This window comes from Homo sapiens, chromosome 7 (genome assembly GCF_000001405.40).
Source record: "Homo sapiens chromosome 7, GRCh38.p14 Primary Assembly".
Lineage (NCBI taxonomy): Eukaryota > Metazoa > Chordata > Mammalia > Primates > Hominidae > Homo > Homo sapiens.
The window spans coordinates 115959694-115983204 of NC_000007.14; the positions used below are offsets into that span (position 1 = coordinate 115959694).

At 33.5% G+C, this 23511-nt stretch overlaps 1 protein-coding gene across 20 annotated transcripts in view; it reads right to left on the reverse strand.

Annotated features, from left to right (window-relative positions):
• TFEC (transcription factor EC) overlaps window positions 1-23511 on the reverse strand; it is a 224745-nt gene that overhangs the window by 24542 nt on the left and 176692 nt on the right. For 12 of the 20 annotated variants that reach the window (XR_007059992.1, XR_007059993.1, XM_011515969.2 and 9 more), the window contains one exon: window positions 14477-14563. The exons of 5 other annotated variants lie outside the window; for them this stretch is intronic. Coding sequence is in view for 12 of the 15 variants with exons in the window: in XM_011515969.2 (XP_011514271.1) it covers window positions 14477-14563 (87 nt within the window). In the remaining 3 variants the exon portion in view is untranslated. Of the gene's footprint in view, window positions 1-8394; window positions 8466-8491; window positions 8617-13176; window positions 13395-14476; window positions 14564-23511 lie in introns of those variants that run through there. 3 more of the 20 variants (XM_017011876.3, NM_001244583.2, XM_017011878.3) reach the window with 3 other exon arrangements.

Genomic DNA, 23511 nt, shown 5'->3' on the forward strand with positions numbered 1-23511 from the left:
TAGAAAAAAAATCCTATAGAATGGAAAAATAACATAATGGAAACAATAAAAAAGGAATAAACGAATTGGTAAAATATAAAGCCAAATTTTTAAAGTAATCTCCCAGGAGGATAAGGAAAAAGACTAAGAAATAGAACATATGAAAGAACACCTAAACAATACAGGGAATAGAATTATTAGAACTAAATTACAGATAACAGGAGTTTCGAAAAGAGAGAAAAATAATATTGGAAGAAAGAATTTTTTAAAGTAACGGAGACACATTTTTAAGAATTAATAGTAATCAATGGGCGACAGTATTTTATTTCACCATAAGTTATCATTATTTTATTTTCATTTAAAAATCAAAGTGTTTATAGAATGCCTAATAAGAATGATAGAAAAGACCTGCATTCAGATATATTATACTAAAATGAAATAATATACAATAATAAAGAGAAAAAAATCTAAAAGCCTAGAAAGAAAGATTGTGTACAAAGAACAAAAGTCCAATTAATATAAGACTTTTCAGTAGCAAAACTGAATGGAAAAATAAAACAAATCTGTATTTTAAAACATTGAAAGAAAATAAAACGAAGTTTTATAGTTTTATATCCAGCTCAAATGTCATTCACACATGAGGCCATGATAAAATATATTCTTAGGCATACAATGCTTAAGAAAGTTTATCCCATAAAGACTAACACTGGAAAAAGTTGGGGTGAAATGCTTAAATAAGTAGAGATATTTAAAGAATATGCTCAAAAATATAAAATAAAATTGATCGAATATCTTGGTAAAGTGATTGCGGAATAAATAATGGCAGTGGATCCAAGATCAAAGATTGAGTGAAACACATAACCATGTAACTCGATCCAGATAATATCAGCACAATTGGGTTGCTGTCGCAGGGAAGCCAAAGGATGTGAAAGTGGTAAGAATGTATTAAGGAGAAACTTAAAAATGGGGCACAAAAATGAATTAAGAAGAGCAAGTGAAAACATATCAATAATAATAATTGATCTAAACAGGTCAGACTCCCTAGGTAAAGGATTGACAGATAAAGTAAGAAAACAGGAACTAGATAAAAGTATCTTACAAGAGACATATCCACACAGTAAAAGGACACATAAAGATTAAAACTTAAAGAATGGAAAAAGACATATCCAGCAGATGATATCCATGGGGAAACTGATGTAGCTATATTAATATCAGAAAAAGGGCTTTCACGCTTAAAAAATTATTAGGGATAATGAGTCACTATTCCTAAAAGGTATAACAATTACAAGCATGTGTGCTCCTAATAAAGTAACCTCCAGATATGTGAAACAAAATGTTTAGAACTACAAGGGGAAATGAATAAATACACCAAAAATAGTGGAAGACTTTAACACACATCTCTTCATTTTTGAAAAGTCAAGCAGACAAAAATAATCAGTAATGCTACAGAAGACTGGAACAATAAATGTTAAATCTCAGCCCAATAGACTTGTATATAGTTTCACATGAAGAAATAGTGAATACAGTTTTCTCAAGTACATATGGAACATATACAAAAACTGACTAGGTGCTCAGTCAAAAGAAACCCTCAACACATTTCATAGAGTGATTGCCAAAATATTTTGAAATTTTAGAAAATTGTTAAAAACCTCAAAGTTTAAGATGAAATCATAGTGGAATTTTAAAATACAACAGAGATAAAACACATGTAAAAATGTCTAGAATATGGCAAAACAATGCTTTAAAGAAAATTCATAGCCTTAAATAATAAATGATAAAAATAGATTCATTTTTGAATTATATAAATTAACCATCATTCTTTTAAAAAAAGGGGAAATAACCAAATAAATCCAAAGAAACTAGAATAGATAATATAATAAGGCCGTAAATCAGTGAAGAACAAAACAATACAAAGATAGATTCATAAACCAAAGCTTGTTTTTGTTTGAAAAAAAATTAACAAGATTGACATGCTTCTGGCAAAACTGATTAAATGAATAACATTTCAAATGAAAGGAGAAAGTAACAACAGTACATTAGATTTAAAAGGTAAAAAGTTTCTCCACTAAGCTTAGGAGCAAGATAAGGATGCCTGTTTTCACTACTTCTATTCAACACAGTATTGTAAATTTAGGTGAGAATAACCAGGCAAGAAAAAGTAACAAAAGCTATCCATATTGGAAAGGAATAAATGAAATGATCTCTGCTAACTGTTGACACGATCTCATATTAAGAAAACCCTCCCTAAGATTCTACACTTACACACACACATGCACACACGCACATACACCATCAAACTGTGTGCTGATTTTATGTACTGCAGCTTAGCTGAACTCATTTATTAGCTCAAAAATCAGTTGCATTTCTACACATGAACCATGAACAAACTGAAAAAGAAATTAAGAAAACTATTCCATTTAAATAGCATCAAAAGGAATGAAATACTTAGGAATAAACTTAACCCGAGAAGCGAAAGGCTTATACACTGAAAACTAAAAAATACTGCTGAATGAAATGAAAGAAATCATAAATAAGTGGAAAGGCATTTTGTGTTCATGGATGAAAAGAAATAATATTGTAACATTGCAATACTATCTAAAGCAGTCTAAAACTCAATACAATTTTTATCAAATTCCAACTGCATTTTTTAAAGAAATAGAAAAATGCATTTTAAATTCACATGAAATCTCAAGGGACCCTGCAGAATCAAAACAATCTTGTGAAAGAACAAAGTTGGAGCACTCACACTTCTAGATTTCAAAACTTATTACAAAGCTGCAGTTATCTAAATCTGTGCTAGTGTGAGTCTGACAATAAGATATATAGACCTAGGGAGTATAATAGCAAGTCCAGAAATAAACTCTCTATTTTATGGTCAAATGATTTTTGACAAAGGTGCCAAGACCACTCAGTGGGGAAAGGAATTCTTTTCAACAAATGGTGTTGGAAAAACTGGCTATCATCATGCAAAAGAATGAAGTTAGATGTTTACCTAACACCACATACAAAAATTAACTCAAAATGGATCAAATACATAAACATAAGAAAAAAATCTATAAAACAACCCTCACAGGGGGAGAAGCTACTGGCCGATCATGTATTTCTTAAGAGATTAAGATCCAGAATATATACATAAAAACAAATCTTAAACTCAACAACAAAAACTAACAACCCAATTTCATTTATTTATTTTATTATACTTTAAGTTCTAGGGTACATATGCACAACGTGCAGGTTGTTACATAGGTATACATGTGCCATGTTGGTTTGCTGCACCCATAAACTTGTCATTTACATTAGGTATTTCTCCTAATGCTATCCCTCCCCCAGTCCCCCTCTCCCCGACCAGCCCCGGTGTTTGATATTCCCCACCCTGTGTCCATGTGATCTCATTGTTCAACTCCCACTTCTGAGTGAGAACATGCAGTGTTTGGTTTTCTGTCCTTGTGATAGTTTGCTTAGAATGATGACAACCCAATTTTCAAAATGGGCAAAAGACTTGAATAGACATTTCTCCAATTAAGATATATACAAATGGCCAATAAGCACATGAAAAGATGCCCAATATCACTAGTCATTAGGAAAATGCAAATCAAAGCTACCATGTAATACTTCAATCTCATTAGGATGGCTAATATCAAAAGAAAAATTGAGGAGTGCTGGTGGTAACGTGAAATGGTGCAGCCATTGTGGAAAGAAGTATGGAAGTTCCTCAAAAGGTAAGTATAGAATTAACATATGATCCAGTAATTTCACTTCTAAGTATGTATCCAAAAGAATTGAAAGCAGGGACTTAAACAGATAATTGTACACCAGTATTCATATTAGCATTATTTACAATAGTCAAATGTCCATCAACAGATGAATAGATAAACAAAATGTGGTGTATACACATAATGGAATAGGCTTAAAAGGAATGAAATTCTGATGAATGCTGCAACATGGGTGAAACTTGAAAAAATTATGCTAAGTGAAATAAGCCAACCACAATAGGATATATATTGTATTATTTTACTTATATGAGGTACCTAGAATAGTGAAATTCATAGAGACAGAAAGTAGACCAAAGGTTATCAGGATCTGGAGATTCAGAGATAAGGGGAGCTATTGTTTAATGAGTACAGAGTTTTTGTTTGGGATATTGATAAAGTTTAGGAAATGGATAGTGGTGATGGTTATACATTATGAATGTACTTAATGCCTTTGAATTGTACACTTAAAAATGTTTAGAATGGTAAATTTTATGTTACTTATATTTTACCCCAATATAAAAACATAATGGGATATACTACCAACAGGGAGCAAGATAAGGATGCCTATTTTCACTACTTCTCTTCAACATAGCGTTGTAAGTTTTAGCCAGAATAATTAGGCAAAAAAAGTAACAAAAGCTACCCACATTGGAAATAAATAAGTGAAATGATCTATGCTCACGGTTGACAAAAATTTGCCATTGATTGTAAATGCTTAGACAAAATGCAAAATTTTCTAGAAAAATATTACTTAGTAAATGTAATTACTGACTGAAGAAGTAATTAATAGTGGTAATCGTATTATGATTACTGAAGAATCAAAAGGTACTTTAAACATACTTCACAAAGAAAAAATCTGAACTAGATACTTTTATGGGGAAAAGTATCATATTTTCAAGAAATATATCATGCCATTTTGTAAAAATGCTTCCAAACAACTTTAAAGGCAAGCGGGAATATGTCCCAATTCACTGACACCAAAATCATACAAAGACATTAGAGGAGGAAAAACTATAGGCCCATTTCACTCATTATTATAAATATTCAGCAAAATATTATTAACACTTTGAATTCAAAAGCTATAAATAATTTGCCACCATCAAGTTTGATTTCCCATAAGTGTATTTTATAATTTAAAAGAGAAAAAGAATCTATGATCATCTCAACAAATTCAGAAAAAAGCATTTGATAAAAGTTAATCCCATTTATTATAAAACTCAGTTTATTAGGAATAGAATTTTGGTAATTTAATAAATAATATGTCTGAAACTTTAAGGCAAACATCCTAATTAATTATTCCCATCAAAATCATTCCTTTTGACATTCAACTTTGTATTTGAAATTCTAGCCAAGGTAATAAGGTAAGAGAAGAAAAGTGCTATGTTTACAGTATCAGTCTATCTCTTCATACAGAATATAGTATTAAGAGAAAACATTTGTTACAAAATGTCACACACAGCTTGATATCCTTTATATATACAAAGTTAAAAACAACTAAGAAAAACAAGTTGATCATGTTTTCTTAGCCCAATGCATGGTAGACTAGCAAAGGAGAAAGAACAGATAAGGCCATTGTTGTCAAGTGTGGTAACAACTGTAGAAATGACAGTAACAATTTCACAATGCTGCCAGATTTTCTTTTTAAATGCCTAACTGGAGTTTTCTGTATAGTTTTACATTAATTAAGTTTTAACTGACGTTGATATGAAAGTAATTCTACACATAAGGTATGTGTTTCATAAACTTTTTTGGATAAGATCAGTAAATAGTTTGACATAATATTTCTTACCTACAAAAATTCTACCACGGTAATAGCTTCTTAAAGGGAATTTTTCCTACCTCTTCAGGCTTAGATATTCTGATTCTGTTCATCAAATTTGTTACTCTTAATCTCCTACTCTACTACTGTGTAAAGATGCTGATTTAATTACATGTAGAATGATTCTATACAAAATTGTGAAACACTGTTTACCATATATCCTTATCCTCTAAATGGAATGCTTGTGGGTCAAAGTTTCCATTACACATTTGCTTACTGTTAGGATAAGGAATCGTGTGCATTTGTCTCACATTTTATCAAAATAGCACCCTTTTTTTTCTTTCTTTTTTAGTTGAAGTTACTAATGTCTCCAAATTGCAATTTTAAGTCTGGAAGAAAAGACAGTGAAACTTTTATTCAAATTCAGTGCATTGGCAACATATTTTTGAGACAATACATGTTTTCATAACCCTAGAAAAATATAGCTTTGTCTTTGTTTAAAATCAGTGCTGCTCTATAAGAAAATAATATCTGGGTCCAAAATTATTGTAGAAACATCTAAGTAAAATTAACCTCTGAAAATGTTCATATATCCATCTATTCTTATCAGGACAAATACAGGACAACATAAATAACCTGACCTGAATTCCACATATGCTTTTTCTACTGTTTTGGCCTCTTCCCTCTTCATATTTTATATCTGATCTATCACTCAGATATGACTTTTTTTAAGAGCTATTTCTCAGTTTGAAAATTCTTCCCTATTCTCATATTTCAAGATCCTCACAGCCCTAAGCCTAAATTATGTTCCCCGCCACTAGTATTTCTTCATCTCTCTCAATTAACTACCACTACCCCTCCCAGACTAACTCATAGTTTAAAAATACAACTTCCTTCTGCTTTCTCCCAGTCAAAAAATCTGAAATCTAAAATCTTTCTGCCTTAACTCATGTATTAAGCCCAAATTCTTGCGTTTAGTTTTCAAAATCTTGCTGCATGGCCCCACTTTCTCTATTCGACATTATTTCCCACTAACTCTCAAGATGAAAGATTTCTTACCACCACATGTAAACATACTGTGCCCATGGCTCTCAACAATAGACTTCAAACCCTAGCGGCAGGGAGGGTGTGAGGGGGAAGAATGTTACTGCAAGGAATCTGTGAATTTATATATGGGGAATTTTTTTAAGAAGATAATAAAATACAAGCATGATCCTAACATACGTGCTATGTCATAGACAGCTGAGTATTTATTACATACCAGGTACTAAACCAAGCATATTTCATAGTAATAATTTAAATAACTATATCTCAAGTAATCTTTACAACAACTCTAGTATTATAATTGTCATTTTAAACATAAAATAATTAAAGCTCTAAGAAATGAAATCATCATTTCATGATCATATAGCTTTATAAAGAAGTAGAGAGCTTGGATTCAAACCAAGGAATGTCTAACACAATGTCTGGATTCTTTATTATCTACCCTATAGGTAGAAGGGCCTTGCCTTTAAAACTTTTAGTCTTAAGTGTTTTGAGTGCTAAAAAAAGTTACAAGGCATTGGATTTAATTTTTCTCAGTTATATTCTTTCCCACTGCTGTTTTCTGCACTACCAATGTCCCCATTCCTTCAATAAGCATCCAAATCTAAGGCTCAACGTTGGGAAAGCCCTCTTCAGCACTCCTCCTCAGGCCAGCCTGGTTTATTTTTCCTTTCACCCTAATAACATGGGGCTAACAAACTTGCAATACATTTTCTAATTGAATTTAAATTAATTGTTTTATCTTTCTCCATTTTTATTCACTCAGCAAGAGAAAAGGCATTATAGTATGTATTTACCATGTTCCTGAAAATGGATTATATATGTAAAGCTAAGAATCTTTGGCATATATATGTGTATATACATATACATATATATAATGTCCTAGATAATTTCATTATAAATACAAAAATGTAAAAAAGTCTTATATATAGTCACATATTATATTTCCAGATAATTTATTAGTAGAGATAACAAAAGAAAAAAATACCTTATATATATGTGTCTGTGCACTATGATATATTTAATATGAGTGTCAAGGGAAACTGAGGCAGTATTTTGAGTTGTTTGGATCCTATATTGTGTTTTTTTGTGAAAACATTCATTGTGACCCTAAGATGGTAAAAGATTAGATAGAATAATTGTAGACATAAAAGGAAAATAAACTTCATGTATAAAGAGGATCACTGTAGGAGAGCCTAGAGTGCACAATGCATGCAAAAAATTGGCGTTTGAAAGATTATTGTCTTTCCTTTTGGGTGTTTATTAATGTAGATGCAATAAACAAGGTCTTTATAGTTTCAGGACACACACCATTAATATTCCTCTAAATTTGTTTTCTTTGCTACTAAAGCAGAGGTATACAGTTTAAATGACATGCACTGAATAGAGAAATCCCACTGTGTTATTGCTGTTATTATTTTTGTCCTATTATGACACATGTAAATATAATGTGTTGAGCTGGAATAGGAGATCCCCTGTCCTTGGTGAGCTGGTTTATAATATAGTGGCAGATTATCTGGAAATACAATATGTGACTATATACAATAATAGAAGAGATAAAATATAAAACAAAGAATGATAATTTATAAATACTTTTGCATCATGCATATTATATACATATGACCTATTTAGTAATAAATAAAAACAATTAATTTAATGTAAACACTGCAACAATTAGTTTGAAACCCTCATCTTTTGATTAAAAAGTAATAATAAACAGGAGTTTGAATATTTTTTACTAAATATACTGTTATAATTTTTTACTATAGTCCAGAGCACTAAAAATAATCTTGTAAGTAAGCATGCTTGTCAATACAGCAGAATATATTTTATGCGTTTCAAAGCTCAATGTTCACATACCTTATTTTATTGACTATAAGTTTATAAAGTTTAAATTCAGTATTTAAGGTGGTTTCATCTCCAAACACTGAAAGAATTCCAAAATATACTTGCTCACCAGTTTTAACTTTGAAGTGTCTATAACCTTCACAATAGCAATGGTTTTCTCTTTCTCCTTCATCATTTTCTTTTCCTTAAACTTGCAAACAATAACCAAGAGAACTGTGTGGAAACTTCTACACTAAAGTGAACTTTGGTTCTTCTTTGGACTTTAAGACTAATCTTGTCTAGATTGTGATTGACAAAAGCTTGCTCACTGATGTTATGCAGTCCTTTCAAGTTCCAACCAAGCACAGGGGGTTGTTAATATTTACTCATTCCTCGTCTCTGGAATGATCTTGAACTATAACAGTTTACTTAGACTACCAAATGCCACCAGCATTTACAGACACTTGATTGAAAAAATACCTATATATGTTAAAAGAAATGAGTTACTATGCACAACCACGTCTCTGAAAGAAAGGGGTGAAACTAAGACCAATGGGTGTAAATAATACACAGATCTAAACTCAGAGGCTAAGCAATCATTCAGCTGGAGTGTGCCAGATGATAAGATCTGTCTCAGACCCCTTCAAATCATAGGATTCTATAGTTCTATGCAATGGCTACTTCCCTGAGACCGCTGGCACAGCAGAATGGGTAAGATAGTTGCACTGGTTTCATGCAGGGCTGGATTCAAGGCCCTACTTTGCCATTCATTAACTATATGAACTTGGGCAAGTTACTGAACTCTCTAAGCTTCTTTCCTCATTTGTAAAATTTTAATAGGCAATAACAGTCTCTATCTCATAGGTTTGTTGTGAAATTAAATGTAGTTTTTCACTAAAAGTATTTTGCATAATTCTTGTCACCTAGTAAGTAACCAATGCATGGTAGCTATTATTATTGTTGTCTTTATTCTTGTTGCAGTAGTACCATGCTACTGCAACAAGAATAAAGTATTCCTGAATAGGAATTATAATGAAAACAATTATTTCAATACTATGTGTGAATTTTAGTCATTTATTTAACATGCATTTGCTGAGCACCTGTGATGTGTTAGTCACTATGCTGGGTACTAACAACAACAAAACAGGCTACTGTTTTAGGCTCCAGAGACACAGCAGTAAATGAGACATACAAAATCCCTGTCTTCAAGGGGTTTGCATTCTACAGGGGGAAGCATAGAATAAATAGGTAAATGCAGTAATAAAGAAGATCATTTGTGTTACACTACTCATAAGTCAGAGGGTAAATAAAATAAGACATTGATTTGAGGAGTCATGGAGTTAGGGTAATTGTGAAAGGCCCCTTTGACAAGCTGACATTGACTAAAGATCTGAATCATAAAGAGGTAACCATGCAAAGATCTGAGACAAAAGCATTCCAAACTAAGCAAAGGAAGTGCAATGGTTGTAAGATGATAATATTCCTGTCATGTTTGAGGAGAAAGGATGCCATTGAATCCAGACCCTGAAGTCAAAGGGAAGTGCTGACTATAATAAAGTGTCTGGATTATATTCCGAATATTTCAGAAAGTTAATAAAATGTTAAGCAAGGAGAAACAGGATCTGATTATTTCTTTAGGAAGATTATTCTGGCTGCTCTGTGAAGAACAGCTGTAAGGGAACAAAATGTAGCAGGAAAGCTAGGTCAGAGCCTGTGGCTGTAGGGAGAGATGATGGAACTTGTTTTACAAGAGGACATGATAGGAACCTGTGAGATTCTGGAAATCTTGGATGTAGATTACAAAAACATATTGATAGATGTGAGTATGGGAGTAAGAGAGAGAAAAGCAAAGAATGACCATTTTTGTTTGTTTCTTTCACATCAACTAAAAGCAGATTTTGGAGGAAGGACTTCTTTTCAGCCATGCTATGTTTAAGATACCTGTTAGAACCACAAAAGATATCAAGTAAGCAGTAGAATATATAAGTCTGGCATATAGGGGATTGATCTAGGCTAGAGATGTGTTGATGTTACCTATAGGACATGTATTGATATATGAGAAAAGAGGACCAAAGACTGAGCCTTAGGACACTCCAGAATTTAGACATCTGTGAGAAGAAAAAGAACCAGTAAAATGAGTGAAAAATCAGAGAATCCACAGAACCCCAGATAGCTCTTCAAGAAGAAGGAAGTGGTGAACCATGTTAAATGCCACTGAGGAGCCAAGTCAGGTGACAATGGAGAATTTGCTACTGGATTAGTTTGCTATTGATTGCTATTGATTGGCTTGCTATTGATTGGTTTTCAGAGCCCTTTTAGAATTGTGAGGACAAAAGCCCTATTGGGGAGGAGAGAATGAGAGGGAAGGAAGTCGAGGCAGGGAGAAAATGGGGGCAGTGAGTTTTTTTGTGTCTGTATGTAAAGGAGTCATGAAATAGCCTAGTAGCCAGAGAGGAAATGCGTTTAAAGGGTGCTGTTTGGTTAGGTTTGCTTTTAGTGAGTGTTATTAAAGATTGATAAATGCTGATATTTATAATACAGTAGATCAGCATATATTCATGATCTAGAAGGAGGAGCTATTTAGAGAAGAAAAGTCCTTTGGAAGGGATCCCAGACACAAATGGTAGGGCTAGCTTTAGATAATGAACTAGGACAATTATTCACATAGGAGCTAGTTATTTAAAAGAGCATGGCAACTTCTCCCCTCTCTCTTGCTCCCTCTCTCACCATGTGACACTCTGGCTCCCCTTCCTTTCTGCCATGACTAAAAGCTTCCTGAGGCCCTCACCAGAAGCAGATACCAGGGTAATGCTTCACGTATACAGTCTGCAGAGCCGTGAGGCAAATAATCCCCTTTTCTTTAAAAAGTACCCAGCCTTAGGTATTCCTTTATGGAAATGTAAAATGGACTAACGCAGACAACCCATGTCATATAGTAGGTAAACATAATAATAATTATTGGTAAATATTCTCATTTTTGAAGCTTATTTTAATAAACATCTGTTAATTTAGCCTGACTAGAATCCATTCACATTTGCTTGGGTAACGACTACTGCTTTCTTGGTTCTCACTCTTAGTCTGGGCAATTTGTTGTGGAGGGCTGTTCAAGCCACAGCTCTAGGGTAGGCCCAAGACCCAGAGACATTGGCTTAGAAATAGATATGTGACAGAAGCTGCTCCATTATCTCAGAGCTTTAACTGGAACTAAGAAGAAAAATACTTCCTCTTAGGTATCCCGTACTAACTGAATGTTTCCATTAGGATGCATTTGTTTTTGAGAATCAGAAAATCCTGATATAATTGGCTTATAAAATAAAGAAAAAAAAAACCTTACATATCCATAGGCAAAATAATTCTCCAGGGGCATATAAGCAGCATTTCTTTCCATATCTGTTGATTTTCTCTTTCCCTTTGTTTCTTTTGTTTTTCCTCACTTTATCTACCTTTTGGGGGGAAAAAAAAGGCTACAGAAGCCCCATAAATCATGGAGAAGCAAAAAGCCTTCTCTTTCTTGAAATTACAGACTGAAGAAAACTTCCAAGCAGGTCTCAGTATCCTGCTCAACTTGCCAGAATTGCAGCACAAGCCCATTCTTAAAACAATCTCTGGCAAAGGAAATGGGGCCACCAGAATTGGTTTAAATTAATCAGAAACTTCCTCTTTCTTGTGAAGGAATGGATGTCTGAAAAAAAACTAGGTTAGCAAGAAAAAAGTGTATGCATGGCTGGGAATAGGCTATGACAGTGTCTGTTCAATGGCTGAGAATAAAGCCAGCACAGAAGAAAACAGAGACAAATTTACAAAGGGATGCCCACATACAATATTACTTAGGGATTTTTAGATGGCATGAACCAATAAATTCCTTTCATGCTTAAGCCCCTTATGAGTCAGGTTAACCACCTGCAACCAAAAGTTCACTGGCTAATATACTTACTCAAAGCTTTTTTCTGAATCTAACAAGTCTTTGCTTTTATCTACATAAACTATAAAAATCCTTCAGAGTTTCCTACCCCTATTCTACCAGCTATTCTTGTACATTCTCTTTTTTCTCACTTCTTGCCTTATGTTGTTCTCTTAACTTGCTACTTTTCTGCCTTCATGTCTATCTCTTAAAATCTTAACTATACAGTACTTCATAACTATATTTCAAACATCACCTCTTTCTAAAGGACTTCCAAAAATTCTCACTTTCTCATGGTTTCTCCTTCATTTGAGCTGCAGAGCAAATCTCTGACTAGCATTCAAAATGAACACATGTAGTCTATAAGATATCAATTAAAACAGCCTTCAGAGACCAATATTTTTCATTATTCCCATAATACAGAAATAGATACCAAAGCAAAGGCAGGTTACGTGATTTGCACAATGTCTGGACTAGAAATGGGTTTGACCCAAGTTCCACATTCTTTCCCGCCCTCTCTCAGGTACAACTCATTGTGCTACCCCATTATATTGTCATCTCTTGACATGTGAATTGTGCCTCACTCAACTTGCAGTCTCATATTGTGTGAATATTATGCTTTACATATAATAAGTATTCAGTAAATATTTGGTTAATTGAACTGCTTTGTTTTACATGTGGATCTAAATTATCAGTTATCTTTGGTTAGTTAACAGCAGATATTTCTTTATGTAAATACACTTAGACCAGTAGTATCCATCTATGTAAAAGTACATTGTGTATATCAAACACATATTCCCAATGAAATTCATCACCAATTTTTTACTGAGTAAACCATTCTACAAAGACTCTACAAAACAAGTAGATAATTTGACAGAGAATGTTTCAGTATACAATTTCAATGAAGTAAGTACCATGTACAAAGAAGAGAAGGCTGCAGGAAATTAATATCATTTCCTCAAGCTCAGAAGTTGAATATTGCTTAAGAAAATAGGATCCTCATGCTGTGAAATTAGAAAGGGAGATATTAGCATTAATATCAAATGTATCTAGAGAATTAGTTTTCATGTCACTATGGCTACTTGAAATCTGAAGAGAAAAAAGGTAGAGTCATCATTCTATATTTAAAAAAATGAAAACTGAAAAAAAATCCTGCAACAAAAAACAGATTTGAAACCTCATCTGATATTTAGCAGGTAGAGTTAGTACTGGTGACTTGACTAGCACTATGTGGAGGTCCTGCATACTAGAGAAAAGGAGAAAGAGACACTTCTCTCATTAGATAGTCTACTTAAGAATTGATACAGAAAAAAGGGATGCTTCCACCATTTTTTTTCTAGGCCCTAAATTGAAAACATCCATCATAATGTAGTCTAGCCTATTGACTTATAGATGAATAGTCCACAACTCAATATAGTCAGAATTCACTTTTTTTAAATTAAATATTTAAAGTAACAATTCAATTGCGATCTTTGAGATTCTTTTTTCTCCTGTTCTCTAAAAGATTGTAAACTGTAAACAAACAAACAATAATCCTTCAAAATATGTTGAAAGAGCTTACACACCCTTTACAGATAACATTTTTATGATTCATAAATGAACAATCAGAAGGCGCATAGCAAGCAAATAGGAGATAATACACTATCCCTTCATATTGCAGGAATTTGTACTGATTTCAACATAGAAGTCTTTCTACATACTTTAAAGGAGGGTGAGGCCTGTTCTATCTTTTTCGATTTGACTTTAACCTCTGGCTATTGGCTTAGAAGTAAATTTATATTTTTCATTGTTGTAATATTTTCTTTCTTCTACAAAGGTATAGAGCCTCTAAATCTGAAAGCTGTATTAGTCATGGTAAAATAGTCAAAATTTAGTCATGACCTTTTAAGAGTGTTTGATTACTTGCTGTGCTTAAAATAGAAAATCTAAAGATTAAATTCCTTACAGAAAATGCTAGCAAATTAGATATATAGTTAGATGCATGTATATAGGATTAGACAGAGAGAGACAGAGAGAGAGATTAGTACAAGCACTATATTCTTCAACCATTAGATAACCTTTTTTTCTGCACCAATAAATATTTTCTAGTATTCATCTTTTATCTTGTCTGTTTAAAAAGTGCAGAAAAAAGCACCAGTTGCTAATCAAATATTTTTATTATCAGAGTGTATTCATTTCTGTTTCAATGACCTTCTTGGGTCTGAAAGCACTTACTGTTCTTTGCATTAGCAGAGGAGAGTCTGCTCCTTCCTCTTTAAAACTTGATTCCATACCGATTATATCCTCAATAACGTCCTCCATCTAGCAAAATATAATACATTTAGAATATTGTACATAATGATAAAAGTTGTGCTTCAGTCTGAAAACAGAGAGAAAAATTCTAGCAATCTTTAAAAGTTTTTAGACAATTTAAATTGAGGTTATATATACATATATATAAAACCTCAATATTATATATATATATATATATATATATATATATATATATATATATAAAAACACAGATTACTTTAGCATTGAAAATGCAGGAATCCTGACAATCTTTGGTCTGTTGCTTTTTCTTGCATTTGTGTCCAAAGGCTGACAGGTGACAACTTGACAAATCACCCTGGGCTAGTCTCTTGGAAATCAGTATCTACATAAATAGAGTGGTTATCATGAAATATCTCAAGGCAGATAGGGTCCCTATAGTTAATATGTACAGAGATTACTTTCTACAAACTTTATTTTTCTTTTAAAATGTTCTGATTGCATCTTACATGTGGATATCTAAATATTCATGGTTAAATATTACCCAGTACATTCCTGTAGATATAGAAGAGACGGAAACATTTCATCCTACCTTCTCTAAAGACCAATAATAATAGGTAATAGCAATAGCAATAACAAAAACAGCAATAATTATGAACATTTTAAATAGTAACAATAAAAATCACTTTTATAGTGCATGAGAGGTACCAGGCATGCTTCTAAGTGCTTTACATACATCATTCATTTAATACTTATAATCACTCAATGAAATGAGTACTTTGCTATATAGAAAAGGAAACTGAGAGAAAAAAATTCAATAATTTGTCCCAGATTATATAGTGAGTGAGTGGTGGAGGAAGGACTGACATCCTAGAAATTTGGCTCTATAGTCCAAATCTTATTGGCTTTCTATTTCCTTTCTCAGTTCTTTTCTAAAATAGAAACTTTCCTTCCCTTCTGTACTTTAGCTAGGGGAGATTTTTAAAGTTTATATGTTTAAAAAAATGGTTGCTTCTCTCTCTCTCTCTTTCTCTCTCTCTGCTCTAGCTCTCTTTGCTTCCATCATATTCCATTTAGTTAAATTTTTAAATGTGATATAAACTCAAATATATTGTGAATGTTTTATTTATATAACTACAGTACTGTGAATTTCCCATGATATATGCAGATACAGTCAGGAGTACACTCTAATAGATATGGAAAAATATTTTATAATTCTATTGATGTTATCTTCAAAGCAAGATATCTAGGAACTTAAGAGAATTGAGTGTTCGGAGAATTCTACTAAGATACTCCAAAAAATATGGAACACTATTCATATCTTAACAAATATTAATTAAGCAATGTTTACTGTGAGATCTTGTGGTTAGAACTGGAGCTACCATAGCCAACAGCAGGAAATTCTTCCTCTTATGCAGCTCAAAGTCTTAAGGAAACAGACCCATAAACAGCTTAATAACAAATAGTGGGCTGAGGAAATTAAAGCAGGTAGAGGATACGGCTTGATGAAAATGGTTGTTATTTTATAAAGTGCATCAGAGAAGATTTACTGACATTTGAACAGACATAAGATTAACATGGGAAAGGGTCATCCTTGGGAAAACAATAAGAAACACCTAAAGTAGGAACAAGTTCAACATGTTTGAGAAAGAATGAGCACTAATGGGAATAGAGCAGAGTGCGCAAAGGCAAGAGCGGTTAGAGATGAAGTGGAAAAGTATGCAAGAAACTGACATCACAGAATCCTCAAGGCCAGTGGTATCCAGTAGAAATTTCTGCAATGATGGGAATGTCCTACATCTGAAATGACCAATGTATTAATAGTAATAACTAACCACATGCCCTCATATGACTACTAAATACGTGAAATGTGGTTAGTGTAACTGCGAAAATGAAATTTTAATTTCATTTAATTTTTTTAAATGTTACTGAATTTGGCCGGGTGCAGTGGCTCACACCTGCAATCCCAGCACTTTGGGAGCCTGAGGCATGCAGATCACTTGAGGTCAGGAGTTCTAGACCAGCCTGGCCAACATGATGAAACCCTGTCTCTACTGAAAAATACAAAAATTAGCCAGGCGTGGTGGTGTGTGCCTGTAGTCCCAGCTACTTGGGAGGCTGAGGTGGGAGAATCATGTGAACCCCGGAGGCAGAGTCTACAGTGAGCAGAGATTGCACCACTGCACTCCAGCCCAGGTGACAGAGTGAGACCCCATCTCCAAAAAATAAAAATAAATAAGTTACTGAATTTGTACTAACTTTAAATTCAAATAGACACATGTGGTTCATGGGTACTACAGTGGAGGGTGTAGCTCTAGCCATGGTCAGATGTTAAATCCTTGTGCACAGAGAGATCTTTAAAGAAGCTAGGTTAATAGATGTGCATATTTTGTTTCTTTTGTTTGGTCCAGTCTCTGAAATTCTTTAAGTAAATTATTGATTGTTATTAAACTTGAATTTTTATTTTGTGATATTTTACTTATATTCTACCACTAAACGGGCAAAAACCTTGTACTGAACAGATGTGAAGAAGATTTGAGGAAAGAAGATTGCTAAACATAATTTATGAGGAGTGCTTTTCATTTGGATACTTGGAGTGGATTCAGTAAAAGTTACACATAAGTCATTCATCTATTTTCTCTCTGGAAGCTTACGTCATAAATGACACGGTCTGTTTAATTTTTCATGTTGACTATAAAGCATGCTTAGGTTTCCCTTATTCCAGAAAGAAACTTTTCTTTGTTACATGAGAAACATCCTCCTTTGGAGGCTGTGCCTTTGCCTTTAACACTACTATCCCTCATTTCTGTCATCTACCTACATGACTACTTTTTTCCCTAATTTCAGTTTTACCATTATCTTAATGGATGTTAAAATCTAAAACCCAGCCTAAAACCTTCACAACTTCTAAGTATCTCCATAATTAAAAACCCAAGAATCCATTTGTTATTTTAAAAAGACAAAAAACACACCATTTTGTATCAGATGAAACAGAATTAATAGATCAGACAAAATAAGAATTACAAACCCGCAAGTAAGCATCCTCAAAATAATAAATTAAGATCATAAGAATACAAAGAAAGAGCAAATTGCTTGACAAAAGTAAAAATGGAGATAATAGGCATAGAAAGTATAAGATTCAAGGACAAAGGAAAACATTTATGTTTTCAGATATGTGAAAATAAAGGTTTACAAAAGAACAAAACTTTTTAACAACACTGAGTGCAAGAAGAAAATGGGATAATACTAGAAATATTAAAGGTAAAGAACTTTGAACCTACATATTTATAGCCAACAAAGTATCTTTTAAGTATGTGGATGAAATTAAATTCTTTTTGGATATAAAAACTCAGAAACTTTAAGGCAAAAATACCTTTTAAAAACAGTTTAAGGAGTACTCCAGTCAGAAGATAAATAAAACCATGAAACTGATACAAAACAAAAGAATGAGTAAAGAACAGTAAAATGTTTGTGATCTAAGTAACTCTAGATATATGTAGAGAGAGACATACATGCATAATAATTACATATGTATTTCTATAGATAAGTACATATATATACATGAATTCTATACATAGATAAATTCTATAAATATCAATTCAGAAAGGTGGGTGACAACAAGGAGATGAGACCATACTAAGGTAGATTTTTACTTAAGAGTATGTCATATATAATGTTAAACAAGGATATAGATGTAGAAAAAAACATAATGATGACTCTTAAAATATTAGAAGTAACAAACAGAAAAGAAGATAAAAACTGACCAATGGAAGATAGAAAAAAGAGGGCAAAGAAACGGAAAGCATAGTAACTTAAAACATAAGAAATTGTAACTGTTAAATCCTAATAGTAAAGTAAGTACAAGAATATAAATGAGTTAACATACTGATTGAGAAACTCTCTCTTGAATTGGATTTTTAAAAGGTTTTGTAATATTTTGTCTATAAGAGACACACTTAAAAGTAAACAACAGAAAAAGCTGAAACAAGGTTAAAAAAGGTATCATAAATATAACCAAAAGGAAATCCACAGTAGTGGTATTCATATTAAGCAATATAAAATTCAAGGTTAAAATCTAAAGGAAAAATAATACCAAGTGATCATGAACACGTATACACCTAAAAATATATACAACTGTCAGAATTCTGTGGAAAAGTACATCAACACTTGCAGTTGAATATTTTAACTCAGCACTCTCTAAATCTGATAGTTCAGCACATAAACCTAAAAATCTTAAAATCCATGATCTTACTCATCAAATGCAGCCTTTGTTTTAGATCCAGTCTGAACACTGGCAGATCACCTGAACAATTTTTATTTTATGACCCGTTATGCCTTTGCTCTGTTACCTTTCTGTCCAACTATCCCAAACATCCCAGATAGTCAATCTCTCCACCTTCTATTAACTCTGAATTCAAAATAGAATGGCTTCTGCTCACCATCCTACTGACATCCCTTTTGTTGTTATTTTTATTCACTCTTTGCCAAGTTCAACAGATATTGATCAGTTCTTATTTTACTAGACTCATCTGCTATATTTGGGTGTGTGAATCACTCCCTCCTTCTCTAAACTAATTCTTTCTTTGGCATCAATGACATTGCACTCTCCCAGTTATCTTTTTACTTTACTTTTATGGGCTTTCTCTTCTAACCATCCCTTAAATGTTGGTCATCTTCAAAAGAGTATCTTTAGCTATCACTCTCCTCACTGTATTCAGGTTCTCAAGGGGATTTATTTCTCATTCAAGATTTCAAAGACCATCCGTATGCTGACAACCTCAAATCTCTTCCTCCAGTCCAGCAGATTTGGATATCTAGCTGTCACCAACATCTCCACGTGATGATCTCACTGATACCACAGTTCAACATGTTTTAAGGGAGAGTCTCACTTTCTCACACCCACAATAGAAATAGACTCCCAGCTGTTCCCTATCCCTGACTCCAGACTTCTCCCTCTATATAGCTGACAAAGTGATCTAGAGTCAAATCTGATTATGTTACCCTAGGTCCCAAGTTTCAACCCTACAGTGACTTGATACTGTTTAACATGGAGTACTAGCCTCTCTGTAATTTGCTGATTACTTACTTCTTTGATGTCATCTTTTACCACCATCTGCCTTCTTTTCTATTCATTTCACACTGCTTCCCATCTCTATTCTGCGCTCATGCTATCCCATCTGGCTAAATGCCCTACTAGTCATTTTCCTCTAAGTCTTTTTATATAATATTATAATTATTTGTTAATTTTTTCTCTTGCCCTCAACCTGAAGCTCCTATATGGTATAGATTATATAGGATGTGCAGTTTGTTCCCTGAGCATGTGGCAATGACAGCTGTCTGAATGAAGAAATAAATGAAATCTTATTGACCGTTCTAAGTTCTTTTTTGAGAAATAGATTTTTTATTTTCATTTGTCCTTTGAACCTCTTCTCCTGGTTGTCCTAAGTTAACTCATCATCACTTTCATGCCAAACTCTACACTCCTTCTAACTACCATACTTCTCTTAACAGTCCCTTCATCTATGTATGTTATTCATCCTGTAAAGGCTCAAAAATCTCAAAATTGCACCAAACTCATCTTCCACCTTCACTTTCGTATACAATATGACACTGAGACGCATCAACATTACCCCTGAGTTCATTTCTTTTATTCTCTCTACCACCAATTTTCCTGATTCAGGCTATAACTAAATTGCACTGTAATATTCTGTCATCTGTTCATGTAGCATGAAACTTAACCTCAATTCTTTCCCTCTCAACCGCCATTTAAATGTTTCTGAAGCATTGCTTTGATTATGATACTTTTGTACTCAAAAACTTGTTCCCACAGCAGATCCATTGAGAGTTGTGTAGTAAATATCAATTTTCTTCTTCTTTCTTACTAATGTTTTTGATGAAACAATATGCTCAGAAGAAAAATGCATTTTTCTCAGCTTCACATCAGCTAAATGTGGCCATGTGACACAGTTTTGACTAAGTCATAAGCATAAGTCTCTTGTGAATTCCTGCAAAATTTTTCCTTTCCTCATGGAGGCATTCTCCTAGCTTCTCTCTCTACTGTCCATCTGGTTTGAGGGCCTGAGAGATGAAGCAGCCCCCTTGTGATCACATGAGGCCCATTAAGATAAAAGTCACATAGTGAAGAAGAAAGAGGAAGAACTGATCTATGTTGACATCACAGAGAACTACAACAGCCTCTGACTACCTACTTCTGGCCTACTTTTCATGGGAGTTGCCCTGTTTTAAAAATGGAGATAATAGGGGCTGGGCATGGTGGCTCATCCCTGCAATCCCAGCACTTTGGGAGGCCAAGGCAGGTGAATCACTTGAGGTCAGGAGTTCAAGACCACCCTGGCCAATACGGCGAAACTCCGTCTCTACTAAAAATACAAAAATTAGCTGGGCGTGGTGGCTTGTGCCTGTAGTCCCAGCTACCTGGGAGGCTGAGGCACGACAATCTCTTGAACCCAGGTGGTGGAAGTTACAGTGAGCCAAGATTGTGCCACTGCACTCCAGCCTGGGCAACAGAGGGAGACTTGTCGCCAAACAAAAACAAAACAAAACAAAAAAAACAAAAAAAAACAAAAACAAAAAAAGGAGATAATAGTAAACCATAGTGCTGTTTAAAAAATTAATTTAAAATACCACCTGACATAAAGACTAAATGAATACTCTCTTATTTTTGTTGTTAATATCACTGTTAATATTCTATGTTGTTAATAATTATAAGACATAATTGCATAAGATTATATGAGATAATATAAGATTATTATGGGAGAAAAATTTGTAACTCTCATTTAGTTAAATCATGGGAAGTTATTTTCTCTTGCATGTTCCTAATGCAGATCTAATTGATACAGTCCCCCACTACCTTGGAATCATGTTCTAAGTTCCCAGATCTGCATTTAAGTCCTGTAGCCCCACCCTAATCCTCCTTTCTAACCTCAGTCACTTATTTGTACCAAATTGTATCACTCTCAAACCCACTTATGCTTGTCTACTCTGCCCTTAGCTTACAGCATTCTCTACTCAAAAAAATTATCTTCCGTCATCTTTGCTGTTGATGTATATGTCTTTCAACACCCAACTCAAGTATTACCACTTCCAGAATTTCCTGAGACCTCACATTGAAAAAATTTATCTTCTGAGTTTCTAGAATACCTTGATTTCACTTTTCTAATGGTTCTTCTCAAATTATACCACATTACTTAAAGTATCACTGTACTAATAACAGCAAGTAGAGAAATATTATTGAAATAAGGGTACTCATTATTAACTTATAAATTTGCCAAAAATATGCACTGATTATTAATTGGCAGAAATTCATCTTAGGAGCTAGATATTAAAATGTGAATAAGGTATTGTATTTTCATCAAGCAATTAACAGACTAAAAGATAAGAAAAAGAAAAAAGGCATAATTAAAATGTAGCATGTGCTGTGAGAATGCCATGAAAAGTGCAATTGTTATCCATATGATATCAGCGTTGCTATGAAAACTCAGATAACAGGCGCTAAGCCCAGACAGAGCATCACCAGGGAAAGCACCTTAGACAAGAAACCTGAAATGAATTTTGAAGGGTGAGCTAGAATTATCCAGACAAACGGTCATGATCAAATAAGCAGGAGGTAAAGAAAAGGTGTAAGAAGGAGAGCCCCGCCACCATGAGAACCAGTGGTAAACCCATAGAGCTGAAACATGAAGCTCTATGGGGATACTGAAGGATAAGTCTGAGCCAGGTGCAAGGGTTAAGTGCAGAAGGGTCCATGTGCTATGGGTAGAAGTTTGAATTGTATCTCAGAAAGACCCATGTTACAAAATGCTTCTTTTGATTTTACATTTCATCTTAAAGATTTTCAGTCTTCAAGTTACTCCTAATTCCAATTACCAAATCCTGAATCTAAAGCTGTTCTCAGACTTATCCTGTGGTAGCTATGATTTCTGGGGTCTTCTTTGAATTGATGAAATGCTCCCTGATGTCACAGGTGGAAAAGGCTTGGGAGAAAAAAAAAACAAAAAAAAACAAAAGATGGCAACAGACACCATCTCCTGGGCTCCCACTCTGCCCTTGTGTTAAAAATTTAAAATTCAAGCATCAAAACAACTCTACAATGTGTACACACATGGGTGAGAGAAATTAAGGACTGAAACCACACAGCTATACTATACTGACTATATCCAAAGACTATACACTTTCTGCCTTGAGTCAGACTCCAAGAACCAGTAAAAGTATTAGACTATTGCGACAACACAGGGTATATCCTAGCTATCAAAGATAGTAAGTCTGTGAATGATGGCAGTATGTGAAAATGTATAAACATACCAAATTCAAAGAGACCACACACTGATTAAAACTATTACAGACTCAGTAAAACTGTGATTAAATGGACATTAATGATGGTTGGGAGATACTTTTGTATACATAATTTAAAATATGATGGTTTAAAAAAATAGAAAAAAATTGTCTATAGCCATTGTTCGTTCACATTGCCCCAAGGCCAGAGCAATTCTTGGGACTTTCAACCCTTCTGAGCCATGAGATTATTTGATTGAGAGCACCCAAAGACCACTAAAAACATGTGAATTTTCTTTATATATACAAACTTAGGATAAAAGCAAAGGTAAGATGTGTGCTTAAAGAATAAAAAAAGTAAATAAAAGGCAGAAAGCTGATCTATGTTGCTTTTCCATTCTCATTTTTTAGAGTACATATTTTATAAAATATATAATAAAATCATTTCTAGATTTTACCTAGAATTAACTGGCATATGCATATCCTTCAAGATTTGTTTTTCTCTTTAGAAATCAACCTTTCACACAAGAAAATGAACTTTGGGAGAAGTAGTTGTAGGATAAACTGTACTGTGTGTAGATCTAACATTTACTGAACAGATTATTTCATCTGATATATATTTTTACAATCTTCATAGACTGAATAGAGAAACTGATTCTACATTCATTTTTTAGGAAAGTTTTTTATATATCCACTACTGTAAAGTT